Source organism: Homo sapiens, chromosome 2 (assembly GCF_000001405.40).
Source record: "Homo sapiens chromosome 2, GRCh38.p14 Primary Assembly".
Taxonomy (NCBI): Eukaryota; Metazoa; Chordata; class Mammalia; order Primates; family Hominidae; genus Homo; species Homo sapiens.
The window spans coordinates 9,441,270-9,454,424 of NC_000002.12; the positions used below are offsets into that span (position 1 = coordinate 9,441,270).

General features: G+C 43.4%; 1 protein-coding gene across 6 annotated transcripts in view; it reads left to right on the forward strand.

Moving 5' to 3' along the window:
* Nucleotides 1-13,155, forward strand: part of CPSF3 (cleavage and polyadenylation specific factor 3) — a 49,448-nt gene that overhangs the window by 17,616 nt on the left and 18,677 nt on the right. For all 6 annotated transcript variants that reach the window (NM_001321834.2, NM_001321836.2, NM_001321833.2 and 3 more), the window contains 4 exons: nt 549-707; nt 2,246-2,392; nt 6,929-7,081; nt 11,644-11,752. In NM_001321834.2, the coding sequence (NP_001308763.1) occupies nt 549-707; nt 2,246-2,392; nt 6,929-7,081; nt 11,644-11,752 (568 nt within the window). The remainder of the gene's footprint in view (nt 1-548; nt 708-2,245; nt 2,393-6,928; nt 7,082-11,643; nt 11,753-13,155) is intronic.

Sequence of the window (13,155 nt, forward strand, 5' to 3'; positions counted from 1 at the left end):
ATTGATATCCGAAATAATTTAAAAGTGGACTTCCAGTTGTAAATAGGCTTTGTTCATAAAGTATTTATTTTAAGTTAACTGCTTAAGGATTGTAGACAAGTTCTCCCTAGAACAATGTTAAACCTTTTGATTTCCAGGCCAGCTCAAAACATGCATGGAGCATGCAAAGCTATTGTGAGTCTTTGGGAATATTTTTTCAGAGTTGTGTCTTGGGTAGATCAAGACCCATTTGACTCTTCCTTTTACTTTTCTGCCTGCCTGCTAGGCGCTGAAGATGGTCCTGATGGTTCTGATGGCCCTCTAGCTACCAACAGAAGGTTTTGAAGATCGGGGTGAACTTACCGCTTTTTATTACTTGGTTTTTCTACCATTCCTAGCCTAAACTGTTTAGGAATTTGGCAACTGAACTTAAAATGTTTACAGATCTTGTGAAGGCTCTTTCAGTGATGTGATTAATCTCTTAGCCTTTTGTTATTCTTTAAAAAGAAAGAATGCTTTGTCAGCTGCTGGTAGCTAACATACTTTTCCCATTCTGTTTTCTCTCTTAGAGCATGGATCATTTTGATGACATTGGTCCCAGTGTTGTAATGGCCTCCCCAGGCATGATGCAAAGTGGCTTATCCAGAGAATTATTTGAAAGCTGGTGTACTGATAAGAGGAATGGTGTCATTATAGCGGGATACTGTGTAGAAGGGACACTTGCCAAGGTCAGTTACAGTCATAGGCTGTTGTGTTATTCCTATTCAGAATCACGGAGGTGGCACGGTCCTCACAGGTTTTTGCACTGAAGTAGTTCTTCAAATAATACAAGTTTTGATTTTTAAAAATGAGGACGGGAATAGGTAGCTAGAGATGTGCGTAGGATGTAGAATTATGCAGACACTGAATGGCATAATGAGGTCCCAGGTGATTGATATACACATTAAAGTTTGAGAAATGCTCATCTGGTTGCAAGTAGAGAAGAATGGACAGGAACCTGTTTGAGACAAACACGTGAATACTCTCCGTCCTCTCATGAAGAAGAGGTTGACTAATACATATGATCTTAAAAAGCTGTAGAATGTGTTTGGGTTGACCACTTTCTACTATTATGAAACATTGATTTTCAGCTCTTAGGGATGTAGAAATTGTAGAAAATATATGCAGAACTTGGGAGGCAGTTTCTGAGCATCCAGGCATCACATTCTCATCCTCTATTTTATTTTTAAAAATATGATATGATTCTTTGATAATCTTTATTACTTTACCTTATTCTATAAAGTTCTTTAGTGACAATGTTGTATTTAAAATAGATTTCCAGGCTGGGTGCAGTGGCTCACACCTGTAATCCCAGTACTTTGGGAGGCCAAGGCGGGCGGATCACCTGAGGTCAGGAGTTCGAGACCAGCCTGGCCAACATGGCGAAACCCCGTCTCTACTAAAAATACAAAAAATTAGCTGGGCGTGGTGGCGTATGCCTGTAATCCCAGCTACTCGGGAGGCTGAGGCAGGGAGAATTGCTTGAAACTGGAGGCGGAGGTTGCAGTCAGCCGAGATTGGCGCCACTGCACTCCAATCTGGGTGACGGAGCAAGACTCCATCTCCAAAAAAAAAAGAAAAAAAAAATTTCCAGGCCTGGCACAGTGCCTCACATCTGTAATCCTAGCACTTCAGGAGGCCACAGCAGGTGGATCACTTGAGCTCAGGAGTTGGGGACCAGCTTGGGCAACATGGAGAAATCCCATCTCTACAAAAAATACAAAAATTAGCCAGGTGTGGTGGCACGTGCCTGTAGTCCTAGCTAGTTGGGGGACTGAGGCAGGAGGCTTGCTTGAACCCAGGAGGTCGAGGCTGCAGTGAGCTGAGATCGCACACTGCATTTCAGCCTGGGTGACAAAGTGAGACCCTATTTGAAAAAACAAAGATTTTCAGAATAGAAATATATCCACATATCTAGGAAATGACTTTGGAGAGCACAAGAATAGTTGGGAATACAGGTTTGTCTTTCTAAGCATAAGAGTTATGATTCTCACTGCCAGCACTCCAGATAGATGAGTTTTAGTTAATTTGTTTACTTTTCTCATTAAATGTTTGCTTGATTGAGAACATGAGTATTTGATATTTACTGAGTCAGTTATATTAGAATGATTTTGTGCGTAAGGTCCTAAATTTAACATGAATTTATGACTGCATGAAAAAAATGAAAATGTACCTTTACGATTATAACTGGGTAGTTTGTTTTGTTATTTTTCTTTATTTTCCACAGCACATCATGTCTGAACCTGAAGAAATCACTACTATGTCTGGACAGAAGTTACCACTGAAAATGTCTGTTGATTACATTTCTTTCTCAGCTCACACGGATTACCAGCAAACCAGTGAATTTATTCGTGCTTTGAAACCGCCTCATGTGGTTAGTCTATGAATTTCATTTATTGTATTAAAGGGAAAAAAAGTGCATACCCAGGAAACTGTGCAGCAGGCAGTTCACAAAGCAGGCATCATCACCTACTAATGCGACACCCCCTGAGCAGAGCCTTTCACATGCACTCGGATTTGGCCTTTACAACTCCCCTTTGATTTCAGCAAGCTGCCCCCTTTCTCCAGAACTGACTGACTCAGACCTACCAACCCCAATCCTAATGTTTTTCTGTTATTTTCTGCTGCCTCTCCAATAATTTAAGAGCCAGGCTTGGAGTATGACTGCTCATTTGGAATGCCAGCTCCATCTCTTACTTACTATGTAACCCTTGGCAAGTTACTTAACCTCTCTGTACCTCATTTGTAAATAGGAATAATAGCTCATAAGGTTATTGTAAGGATGAAGTGAAAGAACATATCTAAAGCACTTAATATGGTGCCTGGCACATAGTAAATGCTTAATATATATATTATATATATATATATATATTTTTTTTTTTTTTGAGGCGGAGTCTTGCTCTGTCACCCAGGCTGACTGCAACTCCGCCTCCCGGGTTCAAGCAGCTCTCTGCTTCAGCCTCCTGAGTAACTGGGATTACAGGTGCCCACCACCACACCCGGCTAATTTTTGTATTTTTAGTAGAGATGGGGTTTCACCGTCTTGGCCGGGCTGGTCTTGAACTCCTGACTTCATGATACACCCGCCTCGGCCTCCCAAAGTGCTGGGATTACAGGCGCGAGCCACTGCACCCGGCCGACTTACTTATATTTTTAAGTATCGTGTAACTTATTAAAAATAAGTTAGATATTTTGATGGAATTGGAAAGGAGGGGTAAGCTGAAAAAAGTGTGTATTTTTAATTAGAAGAACACTAATGAAGCATGTGTCCATAGAAAATAGATGACGTGCCCTTTCCAAATGTATTGGAAAGCAGGAGAAATGGCCTTTTGTTAGTTTTGTTTGTTTGCTTGTTGTTTGGGGTGTTTTTTGGTTTGTTTGTTTGTTTGTTTGTTTGGATGAAGTCTTGCTCTGTTGCCTAGGCTGGAGTGCAGTGGCGCCAATCTCAGCTCACTGCAGCTTCTGCCTCCTGGGTTAAAGCAATTCTCCTGCCTCAGCCTTCCGGGTAGCTGGGATTACAGGCACGTGCCACCACGCCCAGCTAATTTTTGTATTTGTAGTAGAGACAGGTTTTCACCATGTTGGCCAGGCTGTTCTCAAACTCCTGACCTCAGGTGATCTGCCCGCCTCGGCCTCCCAAAGTGCTAGGATTACAGGCATGAGCCACTGCACCTGGCCTTGCTTGTTGTTTTTTAAATACGTTTTACTGTGGTAAAATATCTAACATAAAATTTGCAGTTTTAACCATTTTTAAGTGTACAAACCAGTGGCATTAATTATATTCACAGTGTTGTACAACCATCACCACTGTCTATTTTCACAGCTTTTCATCACTCCAAGCAGAAACTCTGTACCGTTACACAGTAACTCCCCATTCCCTTCCGCCAACCCTGGTAATCTCAAATCTACTTTCTGTTTCTATGAATTTGACTATTCTAGGTATTTCATATAAGAGGAATCATAATGCCTATGATGTTTTCAAGGTTCATCATGTTGTGGCATGTATCAGCACTTCATGCCGAAGTCATGGTCCGTTATATGTAGACCACATGTTGTTTATCCATTCACCTGTGGGTGGACACTCGGGTTGTGTCACTTTACAGCAAATGTGAAGTGGTATCTCGTTGTGGTTTTTATTTTCATTTCTCTAATGACTAATGATGTTGAGCACCTTTTCATGCAGTCTTTTGTTCGTTTTTGAGTTTTTTCTAGCATGATAGGCCTCACAGGTATTTGCCACTGGCCCTTAATGAGCAGATTATTTGGTCAAGAAAAATCACTCTCCTGTCTATAGCATCACAGTGTGTAGGGTTTAGTCACAGAGTAGGCTCCTCCCAGGTGTTTCTTATTGTCTGTGTGCATGAACACTCCCCCAGATTTCCAAGCCAGGGAGGAAAAGCCGAATTGCTCTTTTGTGTGGTGTCACCACCTCATCCTCAGCCCCATTTCATCCTGTCACTCTCCTGGTTCTACTTCTGCTGACAGTTTAAGTTCCTGGGTTGAACTTCATGCTCATTTTCTTGTGATAACCAGCTCCAGCAAAAGTATAGCTGCAGGATAAAATTGCAATACTAGTAGTGTTGGTGGTAGTAATGAATACTAGCTAACATTGATTATTTACCATGTGCCGGACACTGTATATGTGTTTTATATGAACTGACTTGCTTAATCTTCATGACCGACAGCTGTTCTGCAGATGAGACAACTGAGGTGTGAAATCACTTGGTCAAGGTTACACAGCTTAAATAAGCAGCAGCACCAGGATTCTGTTCAGGCAGCCAGGCCCAGGCCCTTCCCCAGCAAGCAGTAAGCCCCTGCCACGTGCTGGTGCTGGCTATGCCCAGCCACAAGCCATCTACCACATGTGAGAGGCTAAGAACAATCTATCTTGGCCGGGCTGCAGTCCCAGCACTTTGGGAGGCCGATGTGGGTGGATCACTTGAGGCCAGGAGTTCGAGACCAGCCTGGCCAACATAGTGAAACCCCATCTCTACTAAAAGTATAAAAATTAGGCAGGGCACGGTGGCTCATGCCTGTAATCCCAGCATTTTGGGAGGCCAAGGCGAGCAGATCACGAGGTCAGGAGATGGAGACCATCCTGGCTAACACGGTGAAACCCCGTCTCTACTAAAAATACAAAAAAATTAGACGGGTGTGGTGGCAGGTGCCTGTAGTCCCAGCTACTCGGGAGGCCGAGGCAGGAGAATGGCGTGAACCTGGGAGGCGGAGCTTGCAGTGAGCCGAGATCACGCCACTAGACTCTAGCCTGGGCGACGGAGCGAGACTCGGTCTCAAAAAAAAAAAAAAAAAAAAGTATAAAAATTAGGTAGGCATGGTGGTTCACACCTGTATCCCAGCTACTTGGAGGCTGAGGCATGAGAATCCCTTGAACCCTCGAGGCAGAGGCTGCAGTGAGCCAAGATCACGACACTGCACTCCAGCCTGGGTGGCAGAGTAAGACTGTCTCAAAAAAAAAAGAACAATCTGTCTTGTAAGATAGAAGTTACAAAAGTGAATGGAAAGGGACTGGTAGCTAATGCTGTTGTTGTAAATACCCTCTAAAATATTCCATTTGGGGCTGAGCACAGTGGCTCATGCCTGTAATCGTACCACTCTGCAAGGCTGAGGTGGAAAGACTGCCCAGAAGTTTGAGACCAGCCTAGACAACATAGTGAGACCTTGTCTCTACAAGAATAAAATAAAACTAGCCAAGCATGGTGGCTCATGCCTGTAGTCCCAGCTACCTGGGTGGCTAAGGTGGGAGGATTGTATAAGCCTGGGAGATTGAGGCCACGGTGAGCCAAGATTATGCCACTGCACTCCAACCTGGGCAACAGAGCAAGACTCTCTTTAAATAAAGAAATATATAAAGTAATAAAATGTTCCATTTGGTTCTGAAATATTTTATTAGGATAGGTACAGTGGCTCACGCCTATAATCCTAGCATTTTGGGAGGCCAAGATGGGCAGATCACTTGAGCCCAGGAGTTCAAGACCACCTTGGGCAATATGTGAGACCGTGTCTCTACAAAAAATACAAATATTAGCCGGGCATGGTGGCGTGTGCCTGTAGTCCCAGCTACGTGGGAGGCTGAGGCAGGAGGATTGCTTGATCCCTGGAGGTTGAGGCTGCAGTGAGCCATGATCACATCACTGGACTCCAGCCTGCGCAACAGAGTGAGACCCTGTCTCCAAAAATATATCAATATATGAGGTAGGCCAGGCACAGTGGCTCAAGCCTGTAATCCCAGCACTTTGGGAGGCCAAGGTGGGTGTCAAGAGTTCGAGACCAGCCTGACCAACATGGTAAAACCCCGTCTCTACTAAAAATACAAAAAATTAGCCAGGCATAGTGGCGTGTACCTATAGTGCCAGCTACTCGGGAGGCTCAGGCAGGAGAATCGCTTGAACTCAGGAGGTAGAGGCTGCAGTGAGCTGAGATCACACCACTGCTACCCTCCAGCCTGGGCGACAGAGCAAGACTCCATCTCACAAAAAGAGAAAAAAGAGAACCATGGGTGTTTTCTAAGACAGTAGGGTAGCAATAGTTTTGTACAAGAGTCATAGGCATTTAAAACTAGAAGAGACTACAGAAGTCAGCCCTTTACAACTGTGAACATAGAAGCAGTGAAACATGGAAAAGGCGTGTATCTCATTAGTGGCAAAGACTGGAGTAGAAAAGAAGTTTCTTTACTCTTTGTTCAAATAGTACCACATAAGGATCAAACAGAATGAATATGTGTATACAAGTTGAATCGGCTGGAGGTCCTTAAAAGTAGTAAAGTTTCATAACTTCCAAGTATGTCTCTATTTCATATATTAAATATATTTCATATATTTAATTCAACTTAAGGACCATGATTAAGCTGAATGATGTTTCCATATATTCTTTTAACATTTATTCTATGTAGATTTTAGTCCATGGAGAACAGAATGAAATGGCCAGATTGAAAGCAGCACTGATTCGAGAATATGAAGATAACGATGAAGTTCACATAGAGGTTCATAATCCTCGGAATACAGAAGCAGTGACCTTAAACTTCAGAGGAGAAAAACTAGCCAAGGTAAAAGGTTATGGTTCCTGTCTGTCCAATCCATGTTTTTTCTTCAGGAAAGACTGTACTTCTTAAGAAAATAGATCTTTAGTCAAAAGAATATGCTTATTTCTGTCTACTTGTTACACTACAGGAATTTTATCCTTATCCTTTTTGGCTTCTTTTGGTTCTGTGCATTCATTTCTTCAGGTGGAAAATGTTCAGCTAGATTAGATTTTTTGTGTGTGTGTGTGTGAGACGGAGTCTCGCTCTGTCACCAGGCTGGAGTGCAATGGTGCGATCTCGGCTCACTGCAACCTCCGCCTCCTGGGTTCCAGCGATTCTCCTGCCTCAGCCTCCTGAGTAGCTGGGATTACAGGTGCGCGCCACCACGCCCAGCTAATGTTTGCATCTTTAGTAGAGATGGGGTTTCACCACGTTGGCCAGGATGGTCTTGATCTCTTGACCACGTGATCCACCCACCTCCGCCTCCCAAAGTGCTGGGATTACAGGCGTGAGCCACCGTGCCCGGCCTAGATTAGATCTTAATGCAGCTGAATCTCATAGCTCTTTAATCCATATCCCCACTTGCTTTTCCTACCCACATCTGAGGGTAAAGAACTGTTTGTTACTGTTTGTTACTGTAGCCAGTATAGCCTTGTGTCCACCTCTTGTCATTCTCCCTGAGAATCTGAAGATAGGCTCATATCTCTAAACATATATGTTTGTGTAGATATGATGGAATATATGAAACATTTTCTCTTTAAAAATTAATCGGCCGGACACGGTGGTTCCTGCCTATAATCCCAGCACTTTGGGAGGCCAAGGTGTGTGGATCACTTGAGGTCAGGAGTTGGAGACCAACCTGGCCAACATGGTAAAACCCCGGCTCTACCAAAAATAAAAATAAAATAAAAAAATTAGCTGGGTGTGGTCGCAGGTGCCTGTAATCCCAGCTACTTGGGAGGTTGAGGCGGGAGAATCCCTTGAACCCAGGAGGTGGAGGTTGTAGTGAGCTGAGATCGAACCTGAGAGATGGAGGTTGCGGTGAGCTGCGATCGCGCCAATGCACTCCAGCCTGAGTGACAGAGTGAGACTGTGTCTCAAAACAAACAAACAAACAAAAAAGAAGTAATCAAGGCTGGGCACGGTGGCTCACTCCTGTAATCCCAGGACTTTGGGAGGCCAAGTCAGGCGAATCGCTTTAGCTCAGGAGTTCAAGACCAGGCTCGGCAACGTGGTGAAACCCAGTCTCTACGAAAAATACAAAAATTAGCTGGGTGCAGTGGCATGCTCCTGTAGTCCCAACTACCTGGGAGGCTGAGGTGGGAGGATGGCTTGAGCTCCAGAGGTTGAGGCTACAGTGAGCCATTGTCCTGTCACGGCACTCCAGCCTGGGTGACAGAGCAAGACCTTGTCTCAAAAAAATAAAAAAAGAATTAATCATTTTTGAGAGTGAAATGTAACATTTTCAGAATTTAAAGTTGAAATAGTTAAGGAAAGCCTGAGCTGGCTTTTTAGAGGGATGCTGTCAGAAGTCTGCATCTTTACTTCTGTTGATCACAACTCGTTTAGAAATACTTCTAAGAGAAACTTTTTAAAAATTACATATATAATTTTAAATTTTTAAAAAGGAATTGAAATCATTATGTTGAAGAGATATGTGCAACTCCCATGTTCTGTTTTTTTGTTTTGAGATGGGGTCACACTCTGTTGCCGAGGCTGGAGTGCAGTGGTGCATTCATGACTTACTGCAGCCTCGACCTCCCTAGGCTCAGCTGATCCTCCCCTCTCAGCCTCCCAAGTAGCTAGGACTACAGGCACAAATTTTTTTTTTTTTTTTTTTTTTTAGAAGGAGTCTTGCTCTGTCGCCCAGGCTGGAGTGCAATGGTGCCATCTCGGCTCACTGCAACCTCCGCCTCCCAGGTTCATGGAATTCTCCTACCTCAGCCTCCTGATTAGCTGGGATCACAGGTGCCCACCACCACGCCCGGCTAATTTTTTTTGTATTTTTAGTAGAGACAGTGTTTCACCACATTGGCCAGGCTGGTCTCGAACTCCTGACCTCAAATGATCCACGTGCCTTGGCCTCCCAAAGTGCTGGGATTACAGGCGTGACCCACCGTGCCCAGTCTGAGGCTCAAACTTTTAATGATTTAGTTGAAGGTTTAAGTATCAACATATGGGCCAGGTGCTGTGGCTCACGCCCATAATCCCAGGACTTTGGGAGGCTGAGGCGGACAAATCATCTGAGATCAGGAGTTCGAGACCAGCCTGGCCAACATGGAGAAACCCTGTCTCTACTAAAGATACGAAAATTAGCCAGTCGTGGTTGTGCGCAACTGCAGTCCCAGCCACTCGGGAGGCTGAGGCAGGAGAATCGCTTGAACCTGGGAGGCGGAGGTTGCAGTGAGCCGAGATCATGCCACTGCACTCCAGCCTGAGCAACAGAGCAAGACTCCGTCTTAAAAAAGCAACTTTACGACACACTTTTAATACATAATGAGCCAAACCTGCAGACGCTAATGAATATCCTTTCTTGAAGGTGAATTGGAGGAAAAAAAGAAATTAGCAAAACTTAGGGTATGAGGTTTTTGTTGTAAATAGTCGTAGTTACTCCTGAGTCTTACTGTCCACAAAACTTTTCAGGGGCCGATTTAATAGTATTTTTCTTATACCTGTAGAAAAATATACTCAGTTGAGAATCTAGAACTGTATTTCACATACTCTGCTGGTGGTGGATATGTGGGGAGAAAAAAAAAGTTTTGCAGTCAGACAGTTTAGAAGATGAATTGAACTGAGTTCAGGAAAAGTTGGGTTTCTTATCGGAGTGTTCTGTTTCTCACCCATAATTTTAATGATTTAAAATCATTACCTTTAGTTATTTTTCTCTCTCAAGTACATCACTGTATTAAAATTAGTCTCCTAGGAGCAAAGGTTCTTTTCTGAAAGCTACCTACAATTAAGGAGAAAATAACCCTAGGAAATACTGTGAAATACAACCCTCTGTGTTTATAATTATGAGAACAAATATAGCACTGCCTGGTTGCTGTTTGCCCTTACTTGCTTAAAGGCAAACAAGTATGGAACACACTACCTTTATTCCTTTGAGCTCATTTATTTGCAGTTGAGAGAAGTTATATTTAAGAATACTGGGTTTCAGCCAGGCTTGGTGGCTCTCGCCTGTAATCCCAGCACCTTGGGAGGCCATAGCAGGCAGATCCCTTAAGCTCAGGAATTGAAGATCAGCATGGGCAACATAGTGAAACTCCATCTCTACAAAAAATACAAAAATAAGCCAGGCATGGTGGCGCACATGGTGAGCGATGATCGCACCACTGCATTCCAGCCTGGGTGACAGAGCAAGACTGTCTCAGAAAAATAAATAAATGAAACTTTTTTTTTTTTTTTTTTTGAGAAAAAGTCTCGCTCTGTCTCCAGGCTGGAGTGCAGTGGCGCGATCTCAGCTCACTGCAAGCTCCGCCTCCCAGGTTCACGCCATTCTCCTGCCTCAGCCTCCCGAGTAGCTGGGACTACAGGCGCCCGCCACCACGGCCAGCTAGTTTTTTGTATTTTTAGTAGAGACGGGGTTTCATTATATTGGCCAGGATGGTCTCAATCTCGTGACCTCATGATCCGCCTGCCTTGGCCTCCCAAAATGCTGGGATTATGGGCGTGAGCCACCATGCCCGGCCATAAATGAAACTTTTTAAAAATGAATAGTGGGGCTGGGTGTCATGGCTCACGCATGTAATTCCAACACTTTGGGAGGCCGAGGTGGGCAGATCATCTGAGGTCAGGAGTTCAAGACCAGCCTGGCCAATGTGGTGAAGCCCCATTTCTACTAAAAATAGAAAAATTAGCCGGGCATGGTGGTAGGTGCCTGTAATCCCAGCTACTTGGGAGGCTGAGGTGGGAGAATCGCTTGAACCCGGGAGGCAGAGGTTGCAGTGAGCTGAGATTGTGCCATTGCACTCCAGCCTGGCGACAGTGAGACACTGTCTCAAAAAAAAAAAAAAAAAAGAATAGTGGGTTTCACGTTTGTAGTATTTTTGTTTTTAAATGGTTGTTATTTTATTCTCTTAAAAATGTTTCTCCCTCAATGTATGAGCTCACCCATAACCTGTTTTTATTGACCTTTTTATTCAAAGCCGCTGCTGCTGCTTTTAGTGTTAGGTGTACCACAGCCTCCCAGGTTTGTATCAGTGGGCCTCACTCTCTGTTATGAGTTTGCAGCCAGCCTGAGGGAGTGCATGTGTGCGTTTCACGGGGACTTCCCGGCCTTCCCTACTGCAGTGCAGCTAGTGAGAGCTTTCTTAAGCCCCGGCACCTAGTAAGTTACTTGCTTGTTGAACTGATTAGAACTGAACTGTGCCAGATCTGCCACTGTGACTCTTCCCTTTGACATTGGTAGCAATGCAACTGCCCTCATCATAGAGATATCAAACATTTTATGTTTTTCGTGGTTAAATCCATATGTTGTTTTCATAGTTCAAAGGTGTTATGGTCTTCATTATGATGAACTGCATTTTATTACCTGAAAAACTGCATTTTACCAGGTTCTATTTTCTTCAAGTATTTTTTTTTTACAGGTTATGGGATTTTTAGCAGACAAAAAACCAGAACAAGGCCAGCGGGTCTCAGGAATACTTGTTAAAAGAAACTTTAATTATCACATACTTTCTCCTTGCGACCTGTCCAGTAAGTATACTATTAAATGTCAAATCCAACTTCACCTTAGCACTGAAAGAAAATCTATGAAAACTTCTCTTCACCTTGTGGCCTAATGTTATGTAATAGACAAATAATAAAAAAGGAATGAGGCAAGTTAGCTAATTAGCTTTGTGGGGAGAGAAAAACACCTCCCATGAACTACTGAAAGATTGAAATTATTGGTGAAATCACTTTCTTCATCTTTGGAAACATAAGTTCATTTCTGAGTTCACCTTGTTTTCTACCCTCTACAACAGACTTGTGGGCTTTTATTTTCTGAAGTGACTTTGGATTCCCCAGAGAAGCCGTTTGGTTTTTATGACCTTTGCATAAGCATTTCAGTTTTTTATGACCTTTACATCACTTGCAGGGCCTTTGTATTCCTTCACCATTCCAAAAGGAGTAGGAACAAAAACTTGTATAATTTCTTTAAAAGCAAAAAAGTATTAATGTAAAGCCTAATTTTTTCATTACATTGAAACTTTCAACATCCAAATAAGTAACACCAACTATATAACTGATGCCTCTAATGTGTGTGTATACATTGAAGCTCATTATAGAGAAAAATGAAAAATTGGGCAGGGTGCAGTAGCTCACGCCTGTAATCCCAGCACTTTGAGAAGCCGAGGCAGGTGGATCACGAGGTCAAGAGATCGAGACCATCCTGACCAACATGGTGAATCCCCGTCTCTACTAAAAATACAAAAATTAGCTGTATGTGGTGGCACGTGCCTGTGGTCCCAGCTACTCAGGAGGCTGAGGCAGGAGAATTGCTTGAAAGTGGGAGGTGGAGGTTGCAGTGAGCTGAGATAATGCCACTGCATTCCAGCCTAGTGACACAGCAAGACTCCATCTCAAAAAAAAGGAAAAATTGCACAAAACTAATAAGATTACATTTAAGTTTGTAAATTGCTTTTTTCCCATAGTTGATACACATTTCCATATGCATTCTTTGTCTTTATAAATTTACTGAGCCATCAATAAGTCATTTTCCAATGAATATGGTATTATTTTCGAGTAAATACTATGCTCAAGGTGATTTACATGGTACTAATACATTATATGTGCTTTATGCAGGAATAAAAAATAGCAGTGGCCCGGCACGGTGGCTCACGCCTGTAATCCCAGCACTTTGGGAGGTCGAGGTGGGCAGATCACAAGGTCAGGAGTTCGAGACCATCCTGGCCAACGTGGTAAAACCCCATCTCTACTAAAAATACAAAAATTAGCTGGGTGTGGTGGCATGTGCCTGTAGTCCCAGCTACTTGGGAGGCTGTGGCAAGAGAGTTGCTTGAATGCAGGAGGCAGAGGTTACAGTGAGCCGAGATCACGCCATTGCACTCCAACCCGGGCAACAGTGCGAGACTCTGTCTCAAAAAAGAAAGAAAGAA